Here is a 22910-nt window from a genome sequence, read left to right as displayed (position 1 = left end):
TCACCGGAAGTCAGAGCAGACAGCAGGGTGAGAATCCAGGTAGCAAGAGAAAAGTCACAGCACATTTCACTATCAGAGGCAGCAGATAAGAATCTGGAATGAAGACACAGGAAAATCAATATAGGAAACTTGGAGAAGATGAACCAGATAAAGAAGCAAAGTTGGAGACATGGATTATATATTTTATGGGTTACCTGAGCCTTAGCCTCCAAAGTGGGCAGAATAAACAATACGGGAGCAATGGAGACAAGTTTCTGAAACCTAATGTGCTTTGATAATCATAAAATAACTTGACAGAGATTAATAATATTGCCAAAGGCACTAATCAGATGCAAAGGAATAAGAAGGAAAAAAGAGAGGCATTAATGCTATACTTTATTTACTGAGTTACTTATACTATTCTCTATAACACTCAGGAACTTTCACCTGTCTTTGAAGCTTGATGGTGCAAAAGGTAGAGAAGATTTATTTATTTATTGGAAGATAGGATTTACATTATTAAACATAGAGGTTTCCAACCATTTCAGATCATTATTATAATATCTTCCATTATGTTCATCCCATATATTTAGAGAATTCTGCCTTCTCATCACAGATGTCAGCAGAAGTCTAGGGCAGCATACACTCTCCCTAAAATCTTTTTTTTCCCCTTTCAATTACATTCCCTTGGGTTTTTTAAAGGCTCTAGACTATAAAAACATCTTGTGTGTCTCCCATCCTGAACACCCTGCTACTTTTCCATATACCACAGGCCACCCACAGACACAAAGCCGGGGGGTGAAGCTGACATGGTCTACTTGGAGCCAGTAGACAGGAGGGCGATGAGTCCTGATGAAGCACTTATGGACAAAATGTAGTTCACTGTGGGGTTGAAGTTCTTCAAAACGAAGAAGAAGCAAAAATGACCAAGAACAGGAACAGAGTGTTGTTAATAGAAAATGGAAAATGTTGTAGCTTCAGAATCAGCAACTTCATTCTTCTTCCACAAGATTCTTACATCTTTCTCCTTCCGAGACATCCTTCTATTATCAGCTTCAGAAAGTTTTCTAGTCACTTCTTTGGAAACAGTATCCTCCCTCTTCTGTGCTACTTTGTGCTTGAGAACAAATTTAACATTCTTGTATGCAAAGGCTACCAAATATGTGCTTTCTAGGGTCATCACACTATAGAAAACAGCAGACTGAATAAGATCCATATGCCATATTCTCCAGTATAACCAGATGGGGATGGCAGACACGACGAACGCATTCCCGAAGAAGATCGCGAAGGACTTGGCCGAGAGGTTGCCGCTGAAATCCTGCAGGAGCAGGTCCTCCTCGGACGGCTGTTTGGAGCTGCCTTTGGGAGCCATTAGCGCAGCGGGAGGTGAAAACAGGGAAGGTAGAGCCAGCCACCAAGCCAGGCAAAGGCCCCTGGCTCCGCCCCTGCGGCCGCCTTATCGGCTCCACTCTCCCTAAAATCTTAAGCACCAGACTCTGAGCTACATGTCCAGTCGCCATGATCAGCAACTTTGAGATTTGTGTTGCTGATCCTTCCAACACTGTCCTCAAACCTCGCCCATAATAATAAGCTAACAGTCATACAGTTGTAAATAGTTATCTCATTTAGTCTTCACAATAAGCCTAGGAAAAGGATATTTATCATTCCATTTAATGAATGAGGAATTTAAGCCACAATAATTACATGGCTTGCCCAAGATAACACAGCTAATAAACAACAGAATTAGGTCTTAAACAGAGGTGACATAATTTTTAAAATTAAAAATGTTTTTAAAAAAGGTATAGAACCCAAGGTCTTCTGACCTAAAGTACAAAGTTTTGGGTTATAAATGTCCAAAATAATCTATCACCTTTGAACTCTGAAATTTTTTTTTGACAGCCTTATTTTTCCATTTTCCGTTTCCTTATTTCTACTAAAGCTGTTTCTCATCAACACCTCATCATGGTCTCCAGATCTCAAACAGTACCTGTTTTCACAAATCATCATGTCTATTCTGGCTTCACAGACCTCTGCTCAGATCCTAGCTTCCATCCTGTAATCCTCTGCCCCCTTGACTTCCTATATTTCCAGTCTTGCTGATTCTTAGTTTGGGCAAATGAACAAGTAAAATGTTAGAAATATGTAAGTATCATATTTCTCGAAATGATCACTCTAAAATGTGGTTCTACTAAAGCAAAAGTATGGCAAATCATAAAGATCTGAAGGAGATATTCTGAGAATGACAGTTTTGTGGTTAGTCAAACTATTTCAATTTAAAACAAAGTCAGGTGGGTTTTTAAAAATCAATTTAGCCTCATTTCTTAATTGCATGTTATAAATCCTTATTTTTATTTTAAATTTGAAAGTACAAGTCTCAGCTTGGTGCGGTGGCTCATGCCTGTAATCCTAGCACTTTGGGAGGGTGAGGCGGGCAGATCACCTGAAGTCAGGAGTTCAAGACCAGCCTGGCCAACATGGTGAAACCCTGTCTCTACTAAAAATGCAAAAATTACCCAGGCATGGTGGCACATTCCTATAACCCCAGCTACTCGGGAGGCTGAGGCAGGAGAATCGCTTGAACCCAGGAGGCAGAGGTTGCAGTGAGCCAAGACCACACCACTGCACTACAGCCTGGGCGACAGAGTGAGACTCCGTCTCAATAAATAAGTAAGTAAGTAAATTAATTAATTAATTAAAGTACAAGTCTATTCTCTTAAACCAGGTGTCATCAAACTATGGCTCACAGCAGAACTCCAGGGTGATGTGTACCCTCCACCATGGGCCACCACCTGTTTTTATATGGCCCATGAGTTATGAATGGTTTTTACCTTTTTGAATGGTTCGGAAAAAAATCAAAAGAAGATTTATGATGTGAAAATTATAATAAATTCAAATTACAGTGTCTATGAGTAAGTTCTCACTGGGAAACATGCATGCTCATTCATCTAAGTATTATCTGTAACTGTTTTTGTGCTACATGGGCTTAGTTAAGTAGTTGCAGCAAAGACCATATAACCCACAAAGCACAAAATATTTACCATCTGCCCTTTACAGAAAACATTTTCCAGCTGCTGCCTTAACTATATACAGGTTTTGTTATAAGTATGCTCTTAATTTTCTGATTAAGGTATTTATATACTTTTTGTTCTTAGAAATGTTGAGACTTAGATAATAAAATCATGAACATTTAAGTAGGTTGTTTTTTCACCTAAAAAGTTTCATCTGGGCCACGTATGGTGGCTCATCCCTGTAACCCCAGCATTTTGGGAGGCCTAGAGAGAGGGATCACTTGAGCCCTGCTCAACTGAGCAGCATGGCAAAACCTTGTCTCTACAAAAACAAACAAACAAAAAAACCAGTTTCATCTGTGTGAACCATACAAAACTATAAAATGCATTTTTCTGCCATTGATCTCTCCTAATTATGTAATAGTTTATTGTTAGAACTAATATTAAAATATTAGCTATTAATTGTGAGTACTGCAGACATTTTAAGCGTGTCATTATATTTATACCCCCAAATAATACTATAAAGTAGGTGCTAACATTCCCACTTGAGAGAAGGCTCAGAAAAGTTTAATGCCTTGGCCAATGTTACACAGCCAGTAAATAAGTGATCTGGCTAAGACTGAAAGCAGGCCTATCTGATTCTAAAGTCCATGCCCCTATGCACCGCACTGTAATGCCTCTCTCACCGTGGAATGCTCACCCTCATTTGAACACCTACCACACTGTCCTACTGTGACTTTAACCTACTCTTATTTCCAGCCAAGTTAAAAACATACCAAGTGCTCACTTCAGCAGCACATACATTAAAATTATAATCACACAGCATGGTCTCTGCACATGGTGATATGCAAACTCATGAAACATTCCATTTTGCTTATCTTGGCAAAAAGAAACACAGGAAGGATAAAACAGAAATTAATAAAATTGGTTATCTCTAAGGAGTGTGGAAAAGTAATGGGATAGAAGAGTTAGGAGAAGGAGTGACACATCTCTGAATGTATTTTTTATAGTTTGACTTTTTTTTTTTTTTTAAGAGACAGTGTCTTGCTGAGAGTGGTGGCATGATCATGGCTCACTGCAACCTTGAGTTCCCCAGGCTCAAGCAATTCTCCCACCTCAGCCTCATGAGTAGCTGGTACTATAGGTGCATGCCACTATACCCAGCTAATTTTTTCTATTTGCTGTAGAGACAGAGTCTCACTATGTTGGGGTTAAGGGATTTTCTATTTGTTGTAGAGACAGAGTCTCACTATGACTGGGGTCAAGTAGACCCCAGTGTCTGTTGTTTCCTCCTTTGTGTTCATAAGTTCTCATCATTTAGCTCCCACTTATAAGTGAGAACATGCAGTACTTGGTTTTCTCTTCCTTCCTGCATTAGTTTGCTGAGGATAATAGCCTCCAGCTACATCCATGTTGCCACAAAAGACATGATCTCATTCTTTTTAATGCTGCATAGTATTCCATGGTGTATATGTACCACATTTCTTTATCCAGTCTGCTGCTGATTGGCATTTAGGTTGATTCCATGTCATTACTATTGTGAACAGTGCTGCAGTAAACATATACATGCATGTGTCTTTATGGTAGAATGCTTTCTAATCCTCTGGGTATACACCCAGTAATGGGATTGCTGAGTCAAATGGTAGTTCTGCTTTTAGCTGACGAATTGCCATACGGTTTTCCACAATGGCTGAACTAATTTACACTCACACCAACAGTGTATGAGGGTTCCCTTTTCTCTGCAACCTCACCAGCAACTTATTTTTTTATTTTTTAATAATAATAGCCATTCTGACTGGTGTGAGATGGTATCTCACTGTGGTTTTGATTTGCATTTCTCTAATGATCAGTGAGGTTCAGCTTTTTTTTTAATATTATTGTTGGCCACATGTGTGTCTGCTTTTGAAAAGTGTTCATGTCCTTTGTCCACTTTTTAATGGAGTTGTCTTTTTTTTCTGGTAACTTTCCTTAAAGATGCTGGATATTAGACCTTTATCAGATACATAGTTTGCAAATATTTTTCTCCTATTCTGTAGGTTGTCTGTTTACTCTGTTGATAGTTTCTCTTGCTGTGCAGAAGCTCCTAAGTTTAATTAGATCCCACTTGTCAATATTTGCTTCTATTCTGATTGCTTTGGTGTCTTTGTCATGAAATCTTTGCCCATTCCAATGTTCAGAATGATATTGCCTACATTGTCTTCCAGAGTTTTTATAGTTTTGAATTTTACATTTAAGTCTTTAATTCATCTTAATTATTGTATATGGTGTAAGGAGGGGTCCAGCTTCAGTCTTCTGCATATGGCTAGCCAGCATCATTTCTTAGCTGCATATGGCTATCCCAGCATCATTTATTAAATAGGGAGTCTTCCCCATTGCTTATTTTTGTCAGCTTTGTTAAATATCAGGTGGTTGTAGCTGTGCAGCCTTATTTCTGGGCTCTCTATTCTGTTCCATTGGTCTATGTGCCTGTTTTTGTACAAGTACCATGCTGTTTGGTTACTGTAGCCCTGTAGTACAGTTTGAAGTCGGGTAATATGATGCCTCCAGCTTTGTTCTTTTTGCTTAGGATTATCTTGGCTATTCAGGCTTTTTTGTCACTGTTGTTCCATATGAATTTTAAAATAATTTTTTATAGTTCTGTGAAGAATGTCATTGGTAATTTGATAGGAATAGCATTGAATCTGCAAATTGATTTAGGTAGTATAGCCATTTTAATGATATTGACCCTTCCTATCCACAAGCATGGGATATTTTTCCATGTGTTTGTCTCTTCTCTAATTTCTCTGAGCACTGTACCAGCTAATACAAAACATACTTACACATAGACCAGTGTTACTATAAAGCAATCACACAAACAAGCCAACATAATAACCAGCTAATAACACAAAGATAGGATCAAATCCACACATATCAATACTAACTTTGAATGTAAACAGGCTAAATGTCCCATTTAAAATGCACAGAGTGGCAAGCTGGATAAAGAACCAAGACCCAACGGTATGCTGTCTTCAAGAGACCCATCTCACACAAAATAACACCCAAGATTCAAAATAAAGGGATGGAGAAAAAAATCTACCAAGCAAATGGAAAACAAAAAAAAGCAGGGGCTGCAATCCTATCCCTGTTTTGTTTCAGACAAAACAGACTTCAAACCAACAAAGATCAAAAAAGACAGAGAAGGGAATTATATAATGGTAAAAGGGTTCAATCTGACAAGACAACCTAACTATCCTAAATATATATGCACCCAACACAGGAGTACCCAGATTCATAAAGCAAGTTCTTAAAGACCTACAAAGAGACACAGACTCCCACAGAACAATAGTGGGAGACTTCAACACTCTACTGACAGTAGTAGACAGATCATTGAGGTAGAAAATTAACAAAGATATTCAGGACCTGAACTCAACATTGGACCAAATGGATCTGAAAGACCTCTATAGAACTCTCCACCCAAAAACAACAGAATATACATTCTTGTCATCACCACATGGTATATACTCTAAAATTGACCACATATTATAACTGGACATAAAACACTCCTCAGCAAATGCAAAAGAACTGAAATCATACCAAACATACTCTTGGACCACAGTGCAATAAAAATAGAAGTCAAGAAAATTGCTAAAACCCATGCAATTACATGGAAATTAAACAACATGCTCCTGAATGACTTTTGGGTAAATAGTGAAATTAAGGCAGAAATCAAGAAATTATTTGAAACTAATGAGAACAAAGATACAACATACCAGAATCTCTGGGACACTGATAAGGCAGTTTTAAGAGGGAAACTTATAGCACTATAATGCCCACATTAAAAAAGTTAGAAAGATCTCAAACCTTAACTACCTAACATCACAACTAAGAGAACTAGAGACGCAAAAATAAATCAACCCCAAAGTTAGCAGAAGACAAGAAATAACCAAAACCAGAGCTGAACTGAACAAGACAAAAAAAAAAAAAAACATTCAAAAGATCAATAGATCCAGGAGTTGGTTTTATGAAAAAAATTAGTTAGATAGACAGGCCACTAGCTAGACTAATAAAGAAGAAAAGAGAGAAGATCTAAATAAACACAATTAGAAATGATGAAGACAATGTAACCACTGACCCCACAGAAATAAAAATAACCATCAGAAACTACTATAAACACCTCTATGCACACTAACTAGAAAACTAGAAGAGATGAATAAATTCCTGGACACATACACTCTCCCAAGACTGAACCAGGAAGAAACTGATTTCCTGAACAGACCAATAATGAAATTGAAGCAGTAATAAATAACCTACCAACCAAAAAAAAAAAAAAGCCTAGAACCTGATGGATTCACAACTGAATTCTATCAAATATACAAAGAAAAGCTGGTGCCATTCCTATAGAAACTACTGAGGAGGAGGGACTCCTCCCCAATTCATTCTATGAGGCCACATCATCCTGATACCAAAACCTGGCAGAGACACAACCAAAAAAGAAAACTTCAGGCCAATATCCTTGCTGAACACTGATGCAAAAATCCTCAACAAAATACTTGCAAATCAAATCCAGCAGCACATCAAAAACCTAATCCAGCATGAGCAAGTAGGCTTCATCCCCAGGATGCAAGATTGGTTCAACATAAGCATATCAATAAATGTGCTTCATCACATAAACAGAACTAAAGACAAAAACAACATGATTATCTCAATAGATGCAGAAAAGGCTTTTGATAAAATTCAACACCCTTCATGTTAAAAACTCTCATCAAACTAGGTATACATACATCAAAATAATAAGACCAATCTATGACAAACCCACAGCCAACATTATACTGAATGGAAAAAAGCCAGAAGCATTCCCCTTGAAAACCAGCACAAGACAAATATGCTCTCTCTCACCACTCCTACTTAACATAGTATTGGAAGTCCTAGCCAGAGCAATCAGGCAGAAAAAAGCAATAAAGGGCATCCAAATAGGGAAAGAGGAAGTCAAACTATCTCTGTTTGCAGATGACATGATTCTGTATCTGGAAAACCCAATAGTCTTGACCCAAAAGCTCCTTCAGCTGATAAACAACTTCAGCAAAGTTTCAAGATACAAAATCAATGTACAAAAATCCCTAACTAACATTCCTATACACCAACAGCCAAACCAAGCACCAAATCAGAAAGACAATCTCATTCACAATTGTCACAAAAAGAATAAAATACCTAGGAATACAGCTAACCAGGAAGGTGAAAGATCTCTACAATGAGTAAATATTTTAATGACTTTGAAAGTAAAAATTTTGATGGGGAAGCCAAGAAATAACCCTGTGGGGCAGGATGACAATTAGAAGCATCGTTACGAGTTCGTAATTTTTTTTTTTTTTTTTTGAGACAGAGTCTCCCTCTGTCGCCCAGGCTGGAGTGCAGTGACATGATCTCGGCTCATTGCAACCTCCACCTCCCAGGCTCAAGTGATTCTCCTGTCTTGGCCTCCCAAGTAGCTGGAATTACAGGTGTGCACCACACCCAGCTAATTTTTGCATTTTTAGTAGAGATGGAGTTTCACCATGTTGGCCAGGTTGGTCTCGAACTCCTGGCCTCAAGTTATCCACCTACCTCAGCCTCCCAAAGTGCTGGGATAACAGGTGTGAGCCACCATGCCTGGCCCAATTCATAACTTCTAATAAACATGTTCTCTAATTCTACCACTGAAAGGATCTAGAAATAATGCACTCCAATAGCAATGTATGAGCACAGCTAACACCAGAACTTGACTTCAATGTATGAGCACAGCTAACACCAGAACTTGACTATCAATCTTGACTTCAGTGTATGAGCACAGCTAACACCAGAACTTGACTTCAGTGTATGAGCACAGCTAACACCAGAACTTGACTTCAGTGTATGAGCACAGCTAACACCAGAACTTGACTATCAATCTCTAGTAAAAATCAGAGCTTCTGAGAGAAATAGTTGATTCTAGGTCAGGGGAAAAGGAGATACAAGATGGGTCTAGAATATCTTGTTGTGTTCTAGAAAGTAAGAACCTACTCAATAAAATGATAGGAGCCATGTCAAAAGGACATGGGGGCCCACTTACAGGGGTTCCTGCAGGCCAAGTCTCAGGAAATTTGAGCATCAATATAATTGATAGTAACAGACTATAAACCATTCAGTAAAACACGAAGTCATGTACCCATGTTGACAATAAATAAGGGCAGCTTTTTCCCTACCATAAAATGCTTTCAGAGAAACATATAAGGAGTGATGGAATTAGAAAAATCATCATTTTTTCAACCATTATAGGAAAAATTAATTCAGGTAAGACTCATCAACAGATACTAAATTTGTGCCATGCAAGTAAGAAAACAGGGTATTTTCATGATATCAAAGCATCTCTCCACAATTACGTATCACAAAGGAAAATAATTTTGTAGTGAAAAAGACTAGTGGACACTACCTCAGACAAGTGACAAAAGTTAATCTCACAAACAATGAGACAAACCAGTTTCATGTACCTTCTGATGTGGTGCACTGAGAAGGACACAGCATCACTTATGTAATTTTCCTACCAAAAATGCACAATCTATTTATCAACATGAGGAAACATCAGAAAAACCCAAATTCAGGGACATCCTATAAAAGGCTGAGGAACTATTCTAGATTAAGGAAGACTAAAAAGACATGACAACTATTCTAGATTATAAAGAAGACTAAAAAGACATAAATGAAATACAGGATCCTAAATTGGACCTGTATGAGGGGAAAATAATGAACACAATTAGGACGCTGATAAGACTACAATGTGAACTATAGATTAGTTTAAAAGTATTATATCAATATTAGACTGTATGAATTTCATAATTGTACTGTAGTTATATGTAAGAGAATATCCTTGTTCTTAGTAATTACACTCTGAAGTACTAAGGGGTAAAGAGTATATATATATATATGTGTGTGTATGAGACAGAACAAAAAACTCAAACATGGCAAATGGTAAAAATTGGAGATTTGGATAAATGATTTATGGGAGTTCTTTGTATTATTATTGCAATCTTTATGTAAGTTTGAAATTATCCTCTCCCAATTTTTAAAAAATTTCATCAACCATGTATACAGTATAATGTGCATCTCTCTTCTAAGTTGAACTATATGTTGGCAGTTTAGATTATGCCTTGCTTTCTCCTTTGCTAACATGCCCTATATCTCCACAGGGCTAGTGACTAGTACTCTGAGTCAGGCACATGTTTGACAAAGCATTTTTTAAAAAATAGAAAGACAAGCTCTGAATGTCAGAGGCTAAGATTTTAAAAATCCACACACGTTTGTGAAACTTCCAAGCCCTTCTCTGCTGCCTGTGCCTCATGTCCTGAGCTTCCCTTGGATAATCCCATATGACTTTCCCAGTCACAGATTTTCCATTTGGTCACTCACTCAACCTTCAGCACAGTCATATCTTTTGCAGAGCTAAAAATAGCCATTCTATCAAGTGGGTAGCGAAAGTCCCATTTACAGTTAAGAAGATAACTTCCCTAAGATTATTTAATGGTGACAATGCATCAGCAAATCAAGATTTGGACAAAATAAAGGCACAAAATATTCCCTGTTGCATGAAATCTATCATTAATTCTTAATCGAGTGAATAGAAGTGCCAGCTCTGAAGTCAGACCTCATAGATCCAAATCCTGAATGTGTCCAGCTGTATAACTTTGGGCAAGCTACTTAACCTTCCTGAGCCTGTTTCCACATCTGTAAAATAAGGTTGGAAATAGTACCTATCCATGGATCTCATAGGCATCTTTTTGAGCAAAAGAAGCCGAAAATAGTGGAGTATATAATATATGATTATATGAAGTTCATGGCAATAGATGCCAGAATAATGGCTACTTTGCGGGGAAAGATTATTGACTGGGAAGGGGCACAAATGAGCCTTCTGAGTGGCAGAAATGCAATTTATCCTGATCTGGGTGATGGTTAAACAGGGATAAGTATGTAAACATTCATTAAGCTGTACATTAAAAATGTCTTATACTGCAACAAAAAAATAAATACAAAGAAAAAACATAATACCAACCAAATAGAATTGTGAGAATTAAGTGAGAAATTGTATGCAAAGTGCCTAGTACATGCATTCAATATAAGTCTGTTACTATTATAACTATTACAATAATAGAGTTGTTATTTTTAAGAGATGAGACTACCTTTCTCCTCAGTTCTTAGTTTCACACCATTTCAAACTTTTATCTTGCCTTTGAAGCTCTATATCGCTCTCTTTGTATTTGAATAAAGGAATTACAGTTGGCCCTGGGTATCCATGGGGGATTGGTTCCAGGACACACCATCAATACTAAAATTCCACTGATGTTCAAGTCCCTGGTATAAAATGGTGTAGTATTTGCATATAACCTATCCACATCCTTCTATATACTTTAAATCATCTCTAGATTATAATACCTAACACAATGGCAATGCTACATAAGCAGTTGTACTGTATTGTTTAGGAAATAATGACAAGTAAAAAGGCCATACATGTTCAGTACAGATGCCATTTTTTCAACTACCTTTAATCTGTGGTTGGTTGAATCCACTAATACAGAACCTACAGATACAGAGATCCAACTTTATATACTTCCTAAAATTTTGAAGGGCATTTTTAAAGAAGTAAATAAGGCAGTCAAAACTAGGAACAGTTGGAAAATAACACTAATTCAATGGAAATAAGCCAGAAATTCATCAGATGTTAAAACCTACAGACATGGAAAAGCTTATATGGATAATGAGTAGGCACCAGGGTTAGACTTTCCTTTCAGTTAGTTCTAAATTCTAGGGGAAGTTTAAACTAAAGGGAAGAAATTAAGAAAATAGTAAACACAAACTGACATCTGAACATTTTTAAAATGAAAGTGAAACATTACCAATTCATGCATCCTTGCTGAGCGGGCTCTCACTCTGAAGATCATTTCTAACTTTCTTTGGCCTGGTAGATTTTCTTAAATGTTATCCTCAATTAGGTTACACTGTTATTTTTTAAAACTTACCTTTATAAAAGCATAGCCAACACCATTATCTGTAATGGTGAGACCAAGTGAATCCTCAGATTTATACACATTCACTTCTTTTTCGATTCCTTTCACATGGGCAAATATGAAATCTTCTAGTCCTAGTTGTCCTCCTAAGAGTCTTTCCATGTCAATTTTAGGTGTGTTTAAAGTGCAATATAAGATCTGCAAAGAAAAATAAAATGTCAGGTCCATTTCCACTTGGAATACATCTGACCGTTAATTTATTTATAAACATTTATTGACTGAAATACTCCTCAATTTATGATGTAAAGAGTTACATCATAAAATGTGTTTTTATGTTGGCTAGAGAGATTCTGGGACACATTTTCAGACAGTAGCATTAGGTAACATGTATTGAGGGTTTCCTGTAGGCCAGGCTTCACGCTAGACAATTTACATCCCATTATCTCACTTCATCTTTACAGTAACTTTATAAAGGACATTGGTATCACCATATTACAAATGAGGAAACTGAAGCCTGGTAAAAATAAGTAATTTGCCTAAGGTCACACAGCCAGTACTTGTCAGAGCCAAGGATTTGAGTTCAGGTCTCACCCATTTTAAAGTGGTTTCTGCCAAGGGACCTGACATTTTATAATGCTGAAATCAAAGGTTATAGTCCCAAAGGTCTGCATCATGCATACACTACAATTAAAATATAGGCAAGCCTATATTTGAAAGTTGGTAAATACATTTTTAAATATAGACAATTTTATTTATCTTGCATTATAGTGCCTGAAAAAAAGCAATTTATTTAGTGAATGAGGTGTTAAAATCAGTATGTTTTAGAACTAAAATGGACTTTAAAGACTATTAACCCAATTTAAAAAGGGGGGAGGGGGGCCATGGAATTGGGGTCTGGAGATTTTAAAACAACTTGTACCAATTCATGTGACAGTAAAAAGAGAGCAAAAAAGAAACCAAATGGTGAAAAGTTGTGTGGAGATTTCAAAGGGGCTTTTTATGTTTACCAAGTCTTTATTTGACCTCATTTTCCTTCAAAAATATGACTCACTTGACTAAAATGTGCAGTGCTACTCAAGTTTGTCAACCATAATCTGGGTAACTTGTGGGGCCCAAATTATAGAAGAAGAGAAGCAGGGTTGAAAAGGTATCATCGGTTAAGAAGCTAAGTTCAACAAACATGTACTGAGTAGCTTCTATTTAATAAGCCAGAAAGGGCATTTTAATATGGCTGTTTCATGCCGAAATCACTAAATGAAATTTATCAGATAATGTCCACCACAGGCATTGCAAGCCTCTTCCTCCATCCCGGATCCTTACCTCAGGCCTCACTCTCAACCCTCTCCCAGTATCCTGGAGTTTCACACCAGTCCTAATTCCTAACAGAACCTTGATTGAGCCTTAACACATCCATAACCTGCATCCCACTCAGAAATAGGGTGCATTTACTACTTACTGAATGGCTTTTTAGGCCATGTCAAAATGTGTCTGAATCAGAAGAGCTTCATAAAATAAAGCTGTCCCTGCTATACAATCAAAGGTCAAGAGTGTTCAGCCAAGCTCAGAGCAAATCCCAGAGGTGTGTTAAAGGAGCTAGTGATGAGGACAAAAAAAAATGCCACTGGCTACAAAACAGTGAATGCCTACAGGAAACAACTATGGCCCCCCAACTTGTCCTCTTTTCATCCCAGTCTTTGTTGAGCCTTCAATTTAACCCTTTATGTTCCCGGCAAGGGCAAAATACATTCAGCTTTGTAGATAATAAGTTTTTGCACATATTCTCTAGTGTAAAAATGATATTGTTCTCAGGGGGAAAAAAATCGGTTAAGTCAAGAATGGTGCATATTTCTGATCCTAACTGTAAAATCAATGGCATATTAGTTTGCTGACAAAAATCACTGTGAATGGGTTGAGGGAGAAGGGAGTATGTGTAGAAAACAGCTTTTCTGACTCTCCTTCACAAAATGATGGGAAGTAAGTAGAAGAAACAACATTTTTCTCCTCCTTGGTTTGTTGTTTTTTTTTTTTTTTTTTCCGGTGAATCTGTCCATGGTATTCACAGTGGGTCCCAAACACCAATATAAAAGCAATTTACCCATTAGCTAGGAAAAAAAAAATTAAAATACCATGATGGTATAACAGGATAGAGAAAAACAAAAAGGAAAAAAAGGAAATCTCACACAAACTGAACTTCTAATGACCAAGCCTCTTCCTTTGCTTCCTTTCTTTCAACTTTTCGCATGCTTCACTACAAAGCAAACATTAGATTTCCTGCAGGTAGAAGAACCCTTTTCCATCGTGCTTCCTCCCGTGCAGAATAACATTCCATTCTAGACAGCCAAAAGTTGGCAAGCAGGGCATTAGTTTCTTTTTTCTGTAAGGAATGGAGCCAGCTATATCTTTCAGTGAATGGAACTTCATGGGAAGCTGTGTTGAAAACCTGTAGGAATGTGATAGCCACTGCAAGGTGGAATAAGAGCAGCAGGTAACTAAAGCTCCATGACTTCAGATCAGTTCTTCACGGGAGAATAAGAAGCTATCACAGTATCAATGCACAACTATCAGCAAATATACCTCTAAGTATATGATAAAGGTCTAGAAATTCAAGCATCCTCAAAGATTTTATATTTTGAACTGCAAAATAAGAAAGTGATACACTAGGTTTTTTTTTTTTTTTTTTTTTTTGAGATGGAGTCTCGCTCTGTCGCCCAGGCTGGAGTGCAGTGGCGGGATCTCGGCTCACTGCAAGCTCCGCCTCCCGGGTTCACGCCATTCTCCTGCCTCAGCCTCCCAAGTAGCTGGGACTACAGGCGCCCGCCACTACGCCCGGCTAATTTTTTGTATTTTTAGTAGAGACGGGGTTTCACCGTTTTAGCCGGGATGGTCTCGATCTCCTGACCTCGTGATCCGCCCGCCTCGGCCTCCCAAAGTGCTGGGATTACAGGCGTGAGCCACCGCGCCCGGCCGTGATACACTAGTTTCTAAAGAATGCAAAGTTCCTGCTCATTCACTCATCAAAAGATAATGAACATTTAAGTCAGAAGGAACCTTAAGAAGCTACTGTGAGCTTTCATACCCTCACTCATACTCATATGAAAACAATAAAACTAACAGTGAAGTGGCCATATTATCAATGCTCCTCTAAGAAATATTTGCTTCCAGAATCTAAGTACGCTACACAACAGGCAGTGAAAGGCAGCATTTAACTTTTTTTTAAAATATAACACTCTCTGACGGACAAACTAAACTAAATCAAAAAAGATTTGGAAAGTAAACTCGTAACAAGGTATCACACAACGTAAGGAAAATGACTGATTCAGTAGATATAATCTTAATGATGTTTTTCATTGTACAATGAAATCCTTAACACCTTCTGGGGTAATCTGTATTTGTTGCTTTACTGCCATCATTGCCTATTTCCATAACTGATGGAGTACCCATGACTATTTCATTTTCTAGAGCATCACTGCCCAATAGAAATACAATGTAAGCTAAATAATTTTAAATTTTCTAATAGTCACAGTAACAAAAGTAAGAAGAAATAGCTGAATTAATTTAATTTAAAACTATATAACCCAGTATATCCAAAATATTGTCATTTCAGCCTATAATCAATGTAAAAATTATTAAGATGGTTTTCATTTTTTAAATTAAGTTTTTAAGATCCAGCATGTATTTACCCTTACATCTTGTCTCAATTTGGAAGAACCAGCTACATTTAAAGTTCTCAGTATCCAAATTCGGCTAGTGGTTACAACATTGGGCAGTTCAGCTTTAGAATCTCATGTCTTTAGGCTGGGCGCAGTGACTCACACCTGTAATCCCAGGCTTTGGGATTACTTTGGGAGGCTGAGGCAGGCAGATCACCTAAGGTCAGGAGTTCGAGACTAGCCTGGCCAACATGGTGAAAACCCATCTCTAAAAATAAAAAAAAAAAATAGCCAGGCATGGTGGCAGGTGCCTGTAATCCCAGCTACTCAGGAGGCTGAGGCAGGAGAATCGCTTGAACCCAGGAGGCAGAGGTTACAGTGAGCCGAGATTGCACCACTGCACCTCAGCCTGGGTGACAGAGCGAGACTCTATCTCAAAAAAAATAAAATTAAAATAAAACCTTTTAGTAGGTAGGGATTTTATCTTACTAGACTTATTTGTCTTATTGCAGGGGTCCCCAACCCCTAGGCTGCAGACTGGTACCAGCCCTTGGCCTGTTAGGAACCAGGCCACACAGCAGGAGGTGAGTAGCAGGCAGGCAAGCATTACTGACTGAGTTCAGCCTTCTGTCAGATCAGCAGCGGCATTACACTCTCATAGGAGCATGAACCCTAAGGTGAGCTGCACATGCGAGGGATCTAGATTGCCTGCACCTTATGATAATCTAATGCCTGATGATCTGAGGTGGAACAGTTTCATCCAGAGACCATCCCACTTGTCCCAATACATGGAAAAACTGTCTTCCATGAAACCAGTCCCTGGTGCCATAAAGATTGGGGACTGCATGCTTATCACTCTGCCTCATCTATATGGAAGACAGACTAATTGAAGGAGAAAGCTATTGCCCTTTGGGGCCAGAAGATGGAGGGCCTTGAATTGTTATTATTGTGCTAGACATCAACATCTTCAGTATCTATTCCCTTTCCCCCTAATTTTCCTTTGGAAACTTCTCTTCCCCATTTTAAGCCATATGGTAGCTTGGGTGGGAGTGACCACATCCTCAGGTTTAAATTGCTTAATGACTACCAATTTAGGCCAAGAAAATCCAAGAATGAACTTATTGGGGGTTTGGGGAAAGAATCCTCTTCTCTTTTCCATAGAAGCTACCAAACGGTGGTTCTGTGTCCCTCACTTCTTCTAAATTATATGAGGTCTAAAATGACTGCAGTTATCACTGCAAACATTAGAAGAGTGGGCCTGGCAACAACGCTGACATGAGGAAAGCAGAGCCTCTGGCTCCAGTCTTACTTCGAGACAGTCAGGGGTGGGCACTGGAGATTGTCCACTCTTTTCCCCTCCTAACACAATTCCCAGATGTGTACAGATTGCAAGCACTTTGGAGGAAAATGACTCACATCCCCCTATTCCAGGCATAAAAGTGAACTAGCCTAAGTGATGGTTTAGGTGTAAGCATGTGGCCCAATGCCAGCTTATAAGATATAGGAGGAAGATGTCCAGGAAGCTCTGGAAAATATTTTTTCACGCCTAATAAAGAAACACAGAAAGAGACAGTCCCTTTCTTCCTCTGTATTTTGCCTTATCTGTGTGTGGTCTAGGAATTTCTACCACCATCTTCCTGCCAGCTGAGAAAGACACCAATGCCAAGAATGGCAAAGCAAAAAGAAGAAATAAACCTAAGTCCTTGGTGACATCGGTGAGTTGCTCAGTTAACCAATTTGGAGCCCACTCTACCTCTTATTTATTTTGAGACAGGGTCTCACTCTGTCATCAAGGTTGGAACACAGTAGTGTGATCATGGTTTACTGCAGCCTCAACCCCCCAGGCTCAAGTGATCCTCCTGCCTCAGCCTCCCTAGTAGCTGGGACCACAGGCACATACTACCAAACACAGCTAATTTTTTTATTTTTCATAGAGACATGGTCTCACCATGTTGCCCAGGCTAGTCTCAAACTTGTGGGCCTAAGCGATCCTCCTGCTTGGCCTCCAAAAGCGCTGGGATTACAGGCACAAGCCACCACACACAGCTCTCTTTTATGTAAAATAATAAGTTAAGTTATCTTGGTTTAGCCAGTTTGAGTAAGTAGTTTTCTGTTACTTGCAGCTGAAAACACGCTGTCTGATACACAGTCCTATCCCAGAATGTTTAGTTACGTGAGTCAATAAATTTCACCAAGCCATCCTGGGTTGGATTTTCTGTTACTTTCAACTAAAAGGTTCCTAACTGATAGAATCATTATGCCTTGTATCTTTATAATTCTTCATAGTTTAAAAGTTCTTTCTGCCTACCATCTCATTTTATCCTTTAAAAAATATCTAAAGTACATGGTGAATTGTGTTTCTTTTAATACGCTGAGGTATTATGGCATCCTAATTTCATATTCTATCACCCCTAACAAAAATTTCAGACAATCTCTCCTCCTTACTTCCAATATCAGTAAAATAAATAAATCGATAGACTGGAATAGTCTCATTCTTGTAATGTGTTAAATAGAAAGAAGAGAAAAAGAAACGTAAGAGATGAAAATAATGGATTAAGAGTTAAGAGTTCTGGATCTAGTTTCAATTATGTACCCTTCAGTCTCAGGGGGTTTAGTTGAGTCATTTGGCCTCCTTGATCCTCACGTAAATTGTGGCATTATTAAAGTTCGGTCTACATCAAATGGTCATTACAAAAATTCAGTAAGTGTATAAATATACTTTTTAAACTAAAAAGCTCTCAGGAGGCTGAAGTGGGAGGATCGCTTAAGGTCAGGAGTTCAAGACCAGCCTAGTCGCCTCAGCGAGACTACACCTCTTAAAATAAAATAAAAAAATAATTATCTGACACATGCCTGTAGTCTCAACTACTTAGGACTGAGGCAGGAATATTGCTTGAACCCAAGAGTTCAAGACTGCAGTGAGCTATGTGCTATGTGCTACTACACTCTAGCCTGAGTGACAAAGCAAGATCCTATCTCTAAAAAATAAGTAAATAAATAAAAAGGCTCAATTTAAAGGTTTTTATTATTATTACTGGAATACAGGGCTTCATGAACAATGATATTTATACTTATGCTTGAAAGCTTCTTAAAGTGCATGAACTTTCCTGAAGTATCAGATTTTGCTCCTTTTTAATATCATAACCAGGATAGATTGCATTTCTCCTCATAAAAAAACTATCCTTCAACTTTTGTTGTTGTTGAAGAATAACTTGCAGACAGTTTTCTTGCTGTGCATTTATATTAAATTGCTACTTTCCTCAGTATTTTCAAATTCTTACCACATGGTTATGATTATTCATCATTGAAACTCAATATGGCTAGGAAGATAAAAGTTTGAACTATCGCACAGAGCCATTAATATCAATTAATATTGCTTTTTCTCTGGTGGCACCATTATATACTCCACAATGTGCTTTGTGAATAGCATTAAATAAATTATTTGTCATTAGTGTTTCAAAAGATATTCTGGTCCACAAACAGGTTAACAAATCTCTCCCAAAACACATCAAATTCATGTTTAAAACGCCAGGAAGTCCACTTCCAACTTTCTTTTGTTGAATGCCTTCCTTAAACAGGAACTGAGCTGGCCAAAGATTCTACATGTTCCAAAGATCTCTGGAACAAATTATGGGCTTATGCAGCTAGAGTTACATTATTTGTATATGTGATTTTAAACATAAGCAGTATTATTATTTTTATATGACTACCCTCCTACATCTCAATCTACCCCCAAAATTTTGCTTACTTTTTTATACTGTATCTCAAATAAACATTATAGAAATATCAGCCAATGTCATTATAGAAAATAAAGAGAAAGTCTGGGTGCAATGGCTCACACCTGAAATCCCAGCACTTTGGGAGTCTGACATGGGTGGATCATTTGAGGTCAGGAGTTCGAGACCAGCCTGGCCAACATGGTGAAACCCCGTCTCTACTAAAAATTTAAAAATTAGGCAGGTGTGGTGGCGTGCACCTGTAGTCCCAGCTACTCAGGAGGCTGAAGCAGGAGAACTGCTTGAACCCAGGAGGTAGAGGTTGCAGTGAGCTGAGATCGGGCCACTGTACTCCAGCCTGGGCAACAGAGTGATACTCTGTCTCAAAAAAAAAAAAAGGCCGGGCATGGTGGCTCATGCCTGTGATCCTAACACTTTGGGAGGCCGAGGCAGGCGGATCACAAGGTCAGGAGATCGAGACCATCCTGGCTAATACAGTGAAACCCCGTCTCTACTAAAAATGCAAAAAAAAAAATTAGCTGGGCGTGGTGGTGGGCGCCTGTAGTCCCAGCTACTCGGGAGGCTGAGACAGGAGAATGACATGAACCCGGGAGGCAGAGCTTGCAGTGAGCCAAGATCATGCCACTGCATTCCAGCCTGGGCGACAGAGCAAGGCTCTGTCTCAAAAATAATAATAAGAGAGAAAAGAAACCATACTTTCCTCAGGAGTTAGTACCACATATTTATACATAAGAAAACCACCTGGATTATGGTTCCTTTGTTAGTGACTAAGGTTTTATCTGGGTTGTTCTTATTATCTAAGTCTCAAAGACTTTTCTTCAAAGAGAAAAAATAATAATTATTTGACCTCCATCTAAATTACTGTCCTTAAAGTTATAGGAATTAAAAACAACCTGAAACTAAGAATAAAATAATTATGGGGGAGAAAAAAAAATAGTCATGTACCCTAAGTGCTTGAAAAGAAAGGATCAGCTCTACCTAAGCCACAGGGACAGAATCACATTGCTCAAAACTCTTCCAAAAAGCTGAGTGTCTTATGCTACATAATTGCCCCCAAAATATTTGGTAAATGTGTCATATCAAGGAACTTCTAGAACTCAAACTAGTCTTCAATTATATGCATAGACTGGGAAACTGCTCATCTCTCTTATTTGTACACAGTTTGGATACTGGCTCCCACTTCCAGTGAAATGCTGTATCGTGAAAGTAAATGAGCTGGGGAGAGGAAGGTCAGCAAGGACTTTTTTCAAAATCAACATTAAGGTCCAAGAAACACTGATTAATGTACCAGCTACTTTCATATGTTACCTCATTTAATTATCAACAACAATTTTATGTGAGATGTATCATAATACCATTTTTTTATAGATTAGAAAACAAAGGTTTAGAGGAGAAAATGGCTTGTGTAGGGTCACATATATAGTAATTGGTGCAGTTGGAACTCCAACCCTGGTTGTCCAACTCCAGGGTGTTTTCCCGGCAATGCCTCTCTGACAACTATTATCTGTGTGGGGACATCTAAGTTACTGGTCACTTCCTAATGCGTTAGCTGAACTAAATCCTTGTGAGTCAGGTCTTGAAGACAAGTATCAATATGCCCTGTGCAGAAAAGAAAACCAGCTCAGACATGTTAAGTGATTTGTGTAGGGTCACACAGCTAGCGAATGACAAAGTCAGAACTAGAATTCGGGCTTTTTCTAACCCATGATACTGTAGCTGTGATGTAAATATAAACACAGCTTTGAATTTAAAACTTTTAGAAGACAGGCGTGACAGCACACACCTATAGTCCCAGCCAAGGTAGGAGGATCACTTGCGCTCAGGAGTTCGAGACAGCCTGGGCAACTCAGTGGGACCTCTTCTTTTCTTAAAGAAAAAAAAAAAGAAGAAGAAGAAACAAAAGAAGAAGAAAGAAGAAGAAGAAAAAAGAAGAAGAAGAAGGAGAAGGAAGGAGGAGGAGGAGAAAGAAGGAGAGGAAGAGGAAGAAGAGGAGGAGGAGCAAAAAAAAAAACCTTCTAGAAGAGACTATACAGTTTTATACTCTGTATGGAACCAAATATATTGTGTTCATTTAATAAACCCCTCACTTTCTAAAAGGAGTAAGACAGTTTGCATAATATAACTATTTATAATTAGACTTTAAAAGCCAAACATAAATATCAAAATAGCAATAACATTATTTAATTTAAATTATTATAAATGATTTTAAAATTTATTCCAACTAGTTTTAAAAATGACTAGTTACATTTGTTTCTTTGTATTATAAACACAGTAATTTAAAATCTCAGCCTATTATTTTCCCAGTATAATGCATGTACTAAATTTCTAGGATTAGTTTTAAAATATGCATCATTATATATATACAGTGCCTTTGACTTCATCTTGTCAATAGCTACAGTCATCTAGAAACAAGTTTCACAGGCTGGAAAAGACATAAAATTGGCGACAAGACAGATATTTAGAAACCTGATACCGTATGCTCTATTTAGACCTTCATGAGTATATTGTATAAAGCTCTGTCCTGAACTGTGTAGAACTTTCTATAAATGATTCACTTCTAAATTAGCTGCCCTGGGTCAGCAGTGGCAAGCCTTAAATAAAAGGTGAATCATCACTCTTTGTGCTCTTCTCCAGTAGAACTACTTTTTTCAGTATTACTAATGAGTAAAATAATATGACAAATAAGAATTCTATCCAAAAAAAGAAAAACAGTCAGATTCATATTTTGAATCTACCAAATGACTTCCCAGCATAACCAAAAGAACACTTTCTTTACTAATGAAATATAATAAAGGGAACTGTGTATCCAAGAAAATCAAAATCCCAAAGCAATCCTTGAGACATAAGAAAAGGATAAAGAATTGGAATAGGTGTAAGTCTTGCCTTTGTGGACATTACACAAATACTAAACCAACGAATAAAATAAATCAAATGCATATAGCCATATATATATATATATATCATCCTCTCCCACAATCTTTTTACACTCAGAGGAGATACCTGAGCTTATCCTAGTCTAATAATGCTGCAACATTGCATGCCAATTTGAAAGACATCATAAATCACTGCTATTTCCCCCGTCAGGTGCTGTTAAATTTTCCATGCTTTCTGAACCACTTATCTTCTTAAAAGCCTCCTCTTGTTTAACATTAAAGATGGAAGAGATTCTAAACAGGCAAAGAGAGACTATAACAGGGGACATTTTATATGCTGGAATAGGATGGTTTATAAAACATCATAATTATACATTATAATTATTAGTAAAGAGATTTGTGGATTAAACGTTCCAAATTACCAAATATACAAATATAACTTGTAAAAGATTGCCATTAGACCTCAAAAGGATCCTTAAACAAAACTTTAAAATTTGTTTGGCAGAAGTTCGTAGAGCACTGTGTTCCTTTTGGCCCACGAGGCTGAATTCTAACCCCTACAATGAAATGTCTGAAGAGAGTGTGATATTTAAAAACCACCCAAATGAATCATGGAAAATTGGAAAGTAAGCATGGTGAGCCATTCAGGTGTCAGAGGGAGTGATGGGGGAAG

At 37.9% G+C, this 22910-nt stretch overlaps 1 protein-coding gene and 2 pseudogenes across 3 annotated transcripts in view; 1 reads left to right on the top strand and 2 right to left on the bottom strand.

Moving 5' to 3' along the window:
* GIPC2 (GIPC PDZ domain containing family member 2) overlaps positions 1 to 22910 on the bottom strand; it is a 93475-nt gene that overhangs the window by 45595 nt on the left and 24970 nt on the right. For all 3 annotated transcript variants that reach the window (NM_001304725.2, XM_047423230.1, NM_017655.6), the window contains exon 2: positions 11990 to 12175. In NM_001304725.2, the coding sequence (NP_001291654.1) occupies positions 11990 to 12175 (186 nt within the window). The remainder of the gene's footprint in view (positions 1 to 11989; positions 12176 to 22910) is intronic.
* LOC100422537 (signal sequence receptor subunit 3 pseudogene) lies at positions 655 to 1444 on the bottom strand (annotated as a pseudogene).
* Positions 3767 to 3862, top strand: RNU6-1102P (RNA, U6 small nuclear 1102, pseudogene; annotated as a pseudogene).

Source organism: Homo sapiens, chromosome 1, assembly GCF_000001405.40.
Source record: "Homo sapiens chromosome 1, GRCh38.p14 Primary Assembly".
In the NCBI taxonomy this organism is placed as follows: Eukaryota; Metazoa; Chordata; class Mammalia; order Primates; family Hominidae; genus Homo; species Homo sapiens.
Note: the sequence above shows the minus strand (reverse complement) of the source record. Positions and strands in the feature narration are given on the sequence as shown.